General features: G+C 40.8%; 2 annotated features.

Annotated features, from left to right (window-relative positions):
- Positions 10107–10739: an enhancer, noted in NCBI's record as "NANOG-H3K27ac-H3K4me1 hESC enhancer chr14:24995551-24996183 (GRCh37/hg19 assembly coordinates)". NCBI's record gives its function as "activates a minimal SCP1, AML or CMV promoter by ChIP-STARR-seq in primed H9 embryonic stem cells {active_cell/tissue: H9 hESC(primed)}" and the evidence as "EXISTENCE:reporter gene assay evidence [ECO:0000049][PMID:30033119]".
- Positions 10740–11374: an enhancer, noted in NCBI's record as "NANOG-H3K27ac-H3K4me1 hESC enhancer chr14:24994916-24995550 (GRCh37/hg19 assembly coordinates)". NCBI's record gives its function as "activates a minimal SCP1, AML or CMV promoter by ChIP-STARR-seq in primed H9 embryonic stem cells {active_cell/tissue: H9 hESC(primed)}" and the evidence as "EXISTENCE:reporter gene assay evidence [ECO:0000049][PMID:30033119]".

Here is an 11374-nt window from a genome sequence, read left to right as displayed (position 1 = left end):
TAATCCCAGCATGGATTGCTTGATCTCAAGAGTTCAAGACAATCCTGGGCAACATGGTGATACCCCATCCCCACAAAAAAATTAACCAGGCATGATGGTAGGTGCCTGGAGTTTCAGCTACTTTGGGGACTGAGACAGGAGGATCACTTGAGCCTCGATGGTTGAAGCTGCAGTGAGCCATGTTTGTGCCACTGCATTCCAGCCTGAGTGATAAAGCAAAACCCTGTCTCAAACAAAAAAACTAAATCCCAAAAATCCAAGAAAATGGGGGAGGGGGGAACAAAGAGCATATGAGACAATAGAAAAAAATAATAAGATGGTAGATTTAAGCACAACGATATTAACTATGTTACAAGTAAATAAATACTCCTATTAAAAGGTTATGATTATCACACTGGAAGAAAAAGACTTCACTTTATAAATAAAATAATTCCATAATCCCAAAATTATGAAGTCATGGAGTAGAAACCCAGCTAGAATATAGCCTCAGCAGATCTGCAGCCAACATGTAATAGAAACAAGAAATAAATGTTTTTATTGTTGGCGAAAGCACTGTAATTTGGGGGTTGGTTCTTCCCCACAGCATAACCTAGGGAAAGCTGACTGACAACCACATTGTAGCATGGTGACTTCTATATATTTAACACTTAATGATTAATTTTTTTAAGTCTTTTGGAAGACAAAAATAAAAGGAAACTGTCTAAATCATATCAATTATATCTTACATAAGGGTAATATTTTAAAGCATTTACATTTAGTAAGAAACATTAAAAAATATCTATTACTATTTCTACTATTTGATATTGTATGGATGTCCTAAGTAATGCAACAACAAAAATAAGGATTTGGAAATTGAAAAGGAAGACATAAGTTGCTGTTTCAAGTTGAAACAACTGCTGTCTTTAGATAGCAATCCACATATTAGACAGCTCAGTAAAATTGATGGATAAAAGGTCAACATATAAAAATTAATACGTCTTATAAACCCATAAAAACAAATTATTTTAGTAGATTAAATTATCTTTCAAAATATGTGCTGCTCCTCTCCATAGTATGCCTCCTTAGGAGAAGATTGTATGTCCCCACCCCAGTGATGCCAAGCTAGGGCATGTGACTCATTTTGACCATTGCCATGTGAGCATAGTGGCTTATTCCACTTCTGCAAAGAAGCTCTGTCAGCCACCACATGACTTGCCTGTTTGTTTTTCACTCTGCCACAAGACCAAAATATTTCATACAGAAGCAACAAAAGAGCAATGGACACATAATAAGAATAAGATAAAATTTGTGAATGTATGATGTGGGAGGGGTGGAATATACCTAACTTTTTTACTGTCAAATTCTGTTAGTTTGTGGTAACAGAATGAGGTCAGTGTGGTAACAGAAGTAGTTGAATTTCTAAAACAGACCTGCACAAATCAAATCTTACTCTATAGCAAACTATTAACAATTTTAAAAGATACAGGTACACATTAATGATTCTTTCCAGAGTAAGCTGAAACCTTTAGATGCACCTGCCAAAAAAGTCTGTGTCTCCTACATTAGGTCAATCCAGAGTATCTGCTCTCCCCCATCATCATCCCCAGAGGGCCACAACTTGGATGAGAGAAGGACCTGAGGAGTCCTGGAGACTGAAGTCCAAAGCATGGAACCCTCAGGGCCTTGTCTCTACCAGAAAATTCTTCAGGCCCCTCCCTTGCTTCTCTTAGACCAGGGCCACCCTAAAGGAGGCCAAAGCCCAAGCCACTGCCTATACCAAGAAGTCCCTGGACAATTGAGCAGGAGAAATGACCCTAGAGTCCCAGACACACTGTCCATTGAAGCACAGTCAGCTCAGTTCTCATGTCCAGCCCAGCATCCCCCATGAGATCAGGGCCTCAGCCCCTTTCAGCCTATTCTTCCTTAGTCTTAGCCCACAGCCTGGCTCCCAGGATAAGACTCTCTTGCCAGCCCCTCTTGAGTTACAGGAGATTCTTTCTGTGGAATAACAGAAAGGCTATGCTCCTACCATTAGTTATTAAATAAATTTTGAGCAACTAGCATATACCAGGCACTGTGCTAGGCACTGGAAATCCAGTGGTGCACAGAATAAACACTCCCTGCTCTCACTAACAGTTAACATTTAGGGTGTCCCATCTTCTGAGTCCCATATGGCCTAGACCTCATTAGGTATCTACCAGAATTTAAAACCTTCTAATTCCAGAACAATTACCACGCCTCTCATTTGTAAAGCACACTATACTTAAAGCTTAAATTACCTTGTTGATCCTAGAAATACATTTTATTGGCACTAGAATAAAGGATTGTTTGCTTAGTTATCATCTTGTTCCAATACTGTGCTCTGTGGAGCTCCCGGAAGTGGAAAGGAAGAGGAAAGCAACAGGTTAACTATTCCCAGCCCCGCAGTCCTTCTCTTCAATCAGAAGAGCATATCTCTGTCTCTTTTAGGTATAGGCATAGTATGAAATTTCCTTTGAAAAGGAGGTCCCTTTTACTTTTTTAAAAGTAAGCAGCTTTGAAACCCACTGACAGAAAACAACTTCCTCCTTTGGGATATAAAGAAACCAAGACACAGAAAGGAAAGTGACTCCAGATGGCCTTTTACTGAGTTACCCGCAAAGCCAGGTTTGAAACCTTGGTCTGCCAACTGCAAGGCCGGTGCTCTTCCAGCCCAGAGATGTGACTTTTCAGAGGAGCAAGTGGCCTTCAAACTCACTTAGCCACCTTCTTCCCCAATAGCTTTCATCCCAACCACCCTGGTCAAGCAAACATCTGGCTACTCTGATGCAAACCTGGACAGATAATATACAGAATTCAACCATTTTCCTTTTACACCCCACATAAAACCATGTGTACAAAGAACACATGTGCCATCTAATGGTCTGTATAATGCTTAAAGACAGTTGTCACACACACTTTCGCCATCCCCAATGCAGGGCAATTCTACTGAGTTCTGAGTTAAACACCTCTACTCTCCACCCCTCTCAGTTTTTCATTGGTCCCCACTATGAGACAGCTGGGAGTACATTTACCACATAAGACCTTCTCCTTTGGAAACTCTCCCCAGATCTTAGGGATGAAGTCCTAGGATGAGATCCTCTTGGATTTTGTGCAGCTGATGCTGACATAACATGACAAGCAATGTAGCAAAGAAGATAACTGGGAGAAAGGCATGTTCTATACCCCAGTGGGAGCTCAAATAAGGATCCAGCCCAAGAATGAGCTAAGGGACCAATCTTCCTAATATGGCCACCATTCTTCTTATGCAGTGAGCTCTGAAAGAAAAGGGTAGACACAGGAGTCTCAGGCCTGGGACGTCATCCTTATCTTGGGACTGTTTTATGTTTCCTTTGGGGGAAAGCATGACTTCTTTTATCAGTTCTCTGAAACAGCTGACTGACAGGATAGAAAAAGGAGCACTTCCGTCCAATTTAGAACCTTCCATGGCCTTGATGAAGCTGATAAATAGAAAGTGATGAACTTGAAACAACCAACATCCCTATCTGCTTTTCATCTAATTCCAAGTGACTCCCAGGATTCTCCCCACTTCAAGAAGAACCCTGGAGAAAGCTGATGACTTCCACCCAGAAATGTGTTAAATGCAAATAGTAAGACTAGTAATGATTTCCCCCAGGGCTCACCAGAACTAAGAGCTCCTCAAAAACTGCACCTTAAAAGATGTCCAGACTTCACACATCCATCCCCACTGGCTACACAGCTTAGAGGCATGTTTAAAGAGTATTTCATTTACATTGTGGAAGCCCAAAACAACAAAAAAGACAAAGAGAGGTAGAGTTAAATGAGTTACTCCACTGCCATCACAGTAGCTCACTTAACAAAGCCTTCACAAAGCCTTCTTTTACCTGGCTATGAGTCTGCTCAAGATTCTTGAAAGCTAGAACTCCTGCCTATATCTTGTTTATATCACCATATGTCCCCATTACCCAACATATTCTGGACACTCTTTTGGAGAACTGGGGCCTGATTTCTAACCTCTTACCATAGCCCTACTACCTTCCTCTGTATTTCCCATCCTTATGTTCGGAGCTTGGCAAAATACAGTTAACACACTTCAACAGCCATATTAATCTCCTAAGTCTTCAGGAATGATTTTCTTACTAACTCTCATCACCTCTCAACCTCACACAATCCAGTTCAGGTCATGAGAAGATTGTTCAGCGGTCCTATATTACATGGTCAGAGGCAGCTTCTATAGGTATAAACTCAGCAGTGCAATTCAACCACAGTCATAGAGGGCTCCCCATGTATAAAGTACTCTGCTAGGTTCTAGAGATTCAAAGATAAACAGGATAAATTTAGTCCTTGATTGAGACACCCAAATTATCATAGAAGCAGTGGGTACACAGAGGGTTATCTATGACAATACAGTAAAAGGTACAATAGATGTAGGTGTAAATTGCTGTTAGAACATAAATAAGAAATTTACTCTGTCTTAGTGAAGGGAGAATGCAGATGAATGTCAGAGGAAAGTTATAGTTGAGCTGAGTTGTGCAGAATGATGAAGAGCTTTCCAAAAAGCTCAAGAGGGGAGGGCCATTTCAGACAGAAGAAGGAGTATGAGCCTTGGTCCAAAAATGACAGAAGAGCATGATGTGGGAGAGAAAGAGGAAAGGTACTGAAGGACCTAAAGGAAAGAGACTGAAGAAGAGATTGGAGAAGGGGGCTGGATTTCTTTTCTGAAGCCCTTTACAGGGCAGGGTAAGACATCTGAACCTGATCCTATAGAACAGTACATTGGGAAGCCCTTCCCTGGGTGAAGATACAGAAGCTAATGGATTTATCCTTGTAACATCTGCCCAGTGGGATTTCATCATTGTTATGCACCGCTGATTACTATGTGTTTACCATTTTTCTTCTGAACCTATTATGGTTAAGTAGGGCTTCTAGAAGCTTTTTAAATCATAGAAAGAAAAATATATAAAATACAAAAAGATGTGTAAGAGCCACGTGGAAAATAGTAAGAAGTTCTTTTTTTATTTTATTTATTTTTTTTATTTTATTATTATTATACTTTAAGTTTTAGGGTACATGTGCACAATGTGCAGGTTAGTTACATATGTATACATGTGCCATGCTGGTGTGCTGCACCCATTAACTCATCATTTAGCATTAGGTATATCTCCTAATGCTATCCCTCCCCCATCCCCCCACCCCACAACAGTCCCCAGAGTGTGATGCTGCCCTTCCTGTATCCATGTGTTCTCATTGTTCAATTCCCACCTATGAGTGAGAACATGTGGTGTTTGGTTTTTTGTCCTTGTGATAGTTTACTGAGAATGATGATTTCCAATTTCATCCATGTCCTTACAAAGGACATGAACTCATCATTTTTTATGGCTGCATAGTATTCCATGGTGTATATGTGCCACATTTTCTTAATCCAGTCTATCATTGTTGGACATTTGGGTTGGTTCCAAGTCTTTGCTATTGTGAATAGTGTCGCAATAAACATACGTGTGCATGTGTCTTTATAGCAGCATGATTTATAGTCCTTTGGGTATATACCCAGTAATGGGATGGCTGGGTCAAATGGTATTTCTAGTTCTAGATCCCTAAGGAATCGCCACACTGACTTCCACAATAGTTGAACTAGTTTACAGCCCCACCAACAGTGTAAAAGTGTTCCTATTTCTCCACATCCTCTCCAGCACCTGTTGTTTCCTGACTTTTTAATGATTGCCTTTCTAACCGGTGTGAGATGGTATCTCATTGTGGTTTTGATTTGCATTTCTCTGATGGCCAGTGATGGTGAGCATTTTTTCATGTGTTTTTTGGCTGCATAAATGTCTTCTTTTGAGAAGTGTCTGTTCATATCCTTTGCCCACTTTTTGATGGGGTTGTTCGTTTTTTTCTTATAAATTTGTTTGAGTTCATTGTAGATTCTGGATATTAGACCTTTGTCAGATGAGTAGATTGGGAAAATTTTCTCCCATTCTGTAGGTTGCCTGTTCACTCTGATGGTAGTTTCTTTTGCTTTGCAGAAGCTCCTTAGTTTAATTAGATCCCATTTGTCATTTTTGGCTTCTGTTGTCATTGCTTTTGGTGTTTTAGACATGAAGTCCTTGCCCATGCCTATGTCCTGAATGGTAATGCCTAGGTTTTCTTCTAGGGTTTTTATGGTTTTAGGTCTAATGTTTAAGTCTTTAATCCATTTTGAATTAATTTTTGTATAAGTTGTAAGGAAGGGATCCAGTTTCAGCTTTCTACATATGGCTAGCCAGTTTTCCCAGCACCACTTATTAAATAGGGAATACTTTCCCCATTGCTTGTTTTTCTCAGGTTTGTCAAAGATCAGATGGTTGTAGATATGCGGTGTTATTTCTGAGGGCTCTGTTCTGTTCCATTGATCTATATCTCTGTTTTGGTACCAGTACCGTGCTGTTTTGGTTACTGTAGCTGTGTAGAATAGTTTCAAGTCAGGTAGTGTGATGCCTCCAGCTTTGTTCTTTTGGCTTAGGATTGACTTGGCAATGCGGGCTCTTTTCTTGTTCCATATGAACTTCAAAGTAGTTTTTTTTCCAATTCTGTGAAGAAAGTCATTGGTAGCTTGATGGGGATGGCATTAAATCTATAAATTACCTTGGGCAGTATGGCCATTTTCATATTGATTCTTCCTACCCATGAGCATGGAATGTTCTTCCGTTTGTTTGTATCCTCTTTTATTTCATTGAGCAGTGGTTTGTAGTTCCCCTTGAAGAGGTCCTTCACGTCCCTTGTAAGCTGGATTCCCAGGTATTTTATTCTCTTTGAAGCAATTGTGAATGGGAGTTCACTCATGATTTGGCTCTCTCTTTGTCTATTATTGGTGTATAAGAATGCTTGTGATTTTTGTACATTCATTTTGTATCCTGAGACTTTGCTGAAGTTGCTTATCAGCTTAAGGAGATTTTGGGCTGAGACAATGGGGTTTTCTGGATATACAATCATGTCATCTGCAAACAGGGACAATTTGACTTCCTCTTTTCCTAATTGAATACCCTTTATTTCCTTCTCCTGCCTAATTGCCCTGGCCAGAACTTCCAACACTATGTTGAATAGGAGTGGTGAAAGAGGGCATCCCTGTCTTGTGCCAGTTTTCAAAGGGAATGCTTCCAGTTTTTGCCCATTCAGTATGATATTGGCTGTGAGTTTGTCATAGATAGCTCTTATTATTTTGAGATACGTCTCATCAATACCTAATTTATTGAGAGTTTTTAGCATGAAGCGTTGTTGAATTTTGTCAAAGGCCTTTTCTGCATCTATTGAGATAATCATGTGGTTTTTGTCTTTGGTTCTGTTTATATGCTGGATTACATTTATTGATTTGCATATATTGAACCAGCCCACTTGATCATGATGGATAAGCTTTTTGATGTGCTGCTGGATTCGGTTTGCCAGTATTTTATTGAGGATTTTTGCATCAATGTTCATCAAGGATATTGGTCTAAAATTCTCTTTTTTAGTTGTGTCTCTGCCCGGCTTTGGTATCAGGATGATGCTGGCCTCATAAAATAAGTTAGGGAGGATTCCCTCTTTTTCTATTGATTGGAATATTTTCAGAAGGAATGATACCAGTTCCTCCTTGTACCTCTGGTAGAATTTGGCTGTGAATCCATCTGGTCCTGGACTCTTTTTGGTTTGTAAGCTATTGATTATTGCCACAATTTCAGAGCCTGTTATTGATCTATTCAGAGATTCAACTTCCTCCTGGTTTAGTCTTGGGAGGGTGTATGTGTCAAGGAATTTATCCATTTCTTCTAGATTTTTCTAGTTTATATGTGTAGAGGTGTTTGTAGTATTCCCTGATGGTAGTTTGTATTTCTGTGGGATCCGTGGTGATATCCCCTTTATCATTTTTTATTGCGTCTGTTTGATTCTTCTCTCTTTTCTTCTTTATTAGTCTTGCTAGTGGTCTATCAATTTTGTTGATCCTTTCAAAAAACCAGCTCCTGGATTCATTAATTTTTTGAAGGGTTTTTTGTGTCTCTATTTCCTTCAGTTCTGCTCTGATCTTAGTTATTTCTTGCCTTCTGCTAGCTTTTGAATGTGTTTGCTCTTGCTTTTCTAGCTCTTTTAATTGTGATATTAGGGTGTCAATTTTGGATCTTTCCTGCTTTCTCTTGGGGGCTTTTAGTGCTATAAATTTCCCTCTACACACTGCTTTGAATGTGTCCCAGAGATTCTGGTATGTTGTGTCTTTTTTCTCATTGGTTTCAAAGAACATCTTTATTTCTGCCTTCATTTTGTTATGTACCCAGTAGTCATTCAGGAGCAGGTTGTTCAGTTTCCATGTAGTTGAGCGGTTTTGAGTGAGTTTCTTAATCCTGAGTTCTAGTTTGATTGCACTGTGGTCTGAGAGACAGTTTGTTATAATTTCTGTTCTTTTACATTTGCTGAGGAGAGCTTTACTTCCAACTATGTGGTCAATTTTGGAATAGGTGTGGTGTGGTGCTGAAAAAATGTATATTCTGTTGATTTGGGGTGGAGAGTTCTGTAGATGTCTATTAGGTCTGCTTGGTGCAGAGCTGAGTTCAATTCCTGGATATCCTTGTTAACTTTCTGTCTCGTTGGTCTGTCTAATGTTGACAGTGGGGTGTTAAAGTCTCCCATTATTCTTGTGGGGGAGTCTAAGTCTCTTTGTAGGTCACTCAGGACTTGCTTTATGAATCTGGGTGCTCCTGTATTGGGTCCATATATATTTAGGATAGTTAGCTCTTCTTGTTGAATTGATCCCTTTACCATTATGTAATGGCCTTCTTTGTCTCTTTTGATCTTTGTTGCTTTAAAGTCTGTTTTATCATAGACTAGGATTGCAACCCCTGCCTTTTTTTTGTTTTCCATTTGCTTGGTAGATCTTCCTCCATCCTTTTATTTTGAGCCTATGTGTGTCTCTGCACGTGAGATGGGTTTCCTGAATAGAGCACACTGATGGGTATTGACTCCTTATCCAATTTCCCAGTCTGTGTCTTTTAACTGGAGCATTAGTCCATTTACATTTAAAGTTAATATTGTTATGTGTGAATTTGATCCCATCATTATGATGTTAGCTGGTCATTTTGCTCATTAGTTGATGTAGTTTCTTCCTAGCCTCGATGGTCTTTACAATTTGGCATGATTTTGCAGTGGCTGGTACCGGTTGTTCCTTTCCATGTTTAGTGCTTCCTTCAGGAGCTCTTTTAGGGCAGGCCTGGTGGTGACAAAATCTCTCAGCATTTGCTTGTCTGTAAAGGATTTTATTTCTCCACTTATGAAGCTTAGTTTGGCTGGATATGAAATTCTGGGTTGAAAATTCTTTTCTTTAAGAATGTTGAATATTGGCCCCCACTCTCTTCTGGCTTGTAGAGTTTCTGCTGAGAGATCCGCTGTTAGTCTGATGGGCTTCCCTTTGTGAGTAACCCGACCTTTCTCTCTGGCTGCCCTTAACATTTTTTCCTTCATTTCAACTTTGGTGAATCTGACAATTATGTGCCTTGGAGTTGCTCTTCTCAAGGAGTATCTTTGTGGCATTCTCTGTATTTCCTGAATCTGAAAGTTGGCCTGCCTTGCTAGATTGGGGAAGTTCTCCTGGATAATATCCTGCAGAGTGTTTTCCAACTTGGTTCCATTCTCCCTGTCACTTTCAGGTACACCAATCAGATGTAGATTTGGTCTTTTCACATAGTCCCATATTTCTTGGAGGCTTTGTTCATTTCTTTTTATTCTTTTTTCTATAAACTTCCCTTCTCGCTTCATTTCATTCATTTCATCTTCCGTCACTGGTACCCTTTCTTCCAGTTGATCGCATCAGCTCCTGAGGTTTCTGCATTCTTCACGTAGTTCTCGAGCCTTGGCTTTCAGCTCTATCAACTCCTTTAAGCACTTCTCTGTATTGGTTATTCTAGTTATACATTCGTCTAAATTTTTTTCAAAGTTTTTAACTTCTTTGCCTTTGGTTTGAATTTCCTCCTGTAGCTCGGAGTAGTTTGATCGTCTGAAGCCTTCTTCTCTCAACTCGTCAAAGTCATTCTCCATCCAGCTTTGTTCCATTGCTGGTGAGGAACTGCGCTCCTTTGGAGGAGGAGAGGTGCTCTGCTTTTTAGAGTTTCCAGTTTTTCTGCTCTGTTTTTTCCTCCTCTTTGTGGTTTTATCTACTTTTGGTCTTTGATGATGGTGATGTACAGATGGGTTTTTGGTGTGGATGTCCTTTCTGTTTGTTAGCTTTCCTTCTAACAGACAAGACCCTCAGCTGCAGGTCTGTTGGAGTTTGCTGGAGGTCCACTCCAGACCCTGTTTGCCTGGGTATCATCAGAACAGCAGATTTTTGTGAACCGCGAATGCTGCTGTCTGATCGTTCCTCTGGAAGTTTTGTCTCAGAGGAGTACCCGGCCGTGTGAGGTGTCAGTCTGCCCCTACTGCGGGGTGCCTCCCAGCTAGGCTGCTCAGGGGTCAGGGGTCAGGGACCCACTTGAGGAGGCAGTCTGCCCGTTCTCAGATCTCCAGCTGCTTGCTGGGAGGACCACTGCTCTCTTCAAAGCTGTCAGACAGGGACATTTAAGTCTGCAGAGGTTACTGCTGTCTTTTGTTTGTCTGTGCCCTGCCCCCAGAGGTGGAGCCTACAGAGGCAGGCAGGCCTCCTTGAGCTGTGGTGGGCTCCACCCAGTTCGAGCTTCCCAGCTGCCTTGTTTACCTAAGCAAGCCTGGGCAATGGCGGGCGCCCCTCCCCCAGCCTCGCTGCCACGTTGCAGTTTGATCTCAGACTGCTGTGCTAGCAATCAGTGAGACTCCATGGGCATAGGACCCTCTGAGCCATGTGCAGGATATAATCTCCTGGTGCACCATTTTTTAAGCCCGTAGGAAAAGCGCAGTATTCGGGTGGGAGTGACCCTATTTTCCAGGTGCCGTCTGTCACCCCTTTCTTTGACTAGGAAAGGGAACTCCCTGACCCCTTGCACTTCCCAAGTGAGGCAATGCCTCACCCTGCTTTGGTTCATGCACGGTGCACTGCCCCCACTGTCCTGCGCCCACTGTCTGGCACTGCCTAGTGAGATGAACTCGGTACCTCAGATGGAAATGCAGAAATCACCTGTCTTCTGTGTCGCTCAAGCTGGGAGCTGTATACCTGAGCTGTTCCTATTTGGCCATCTTGGCTCGACCTCAAGAAATTCTAATGTAAAATGAAATTCGAGTCTTAAAAGAGGAAGAAAGAGAATATAAAGCAGAAATAATATTTGAAGTTCTAAAGACCAAGAATTTTTCAAAGTGATAAAATATATCAAGCTACAGAATTTTTAAAGTATAAATTTTGAAAAGAAAAATGAAAAACACACCTTGCCATATTATAGTAAAATGTTGCAAACAATTTATTAAAGTAAAAAAGGAACAATAAGACTGGCAC

This window comes from Homo sapiens, chromosome 14 (assembly GCF_000001405.40).
Source record: "Homo sapiens chromosome 14, GRCh38.p14 Primary Assembly".
Lineage (NCBI taxonomy): Eukaryota > Metazoa > Chordata > Mammalia > Primates > Hominidae > Homo > Homo sapiens.
This window is presented reverse-complemented; position numbering and strand designations above follow the sequence as displayed.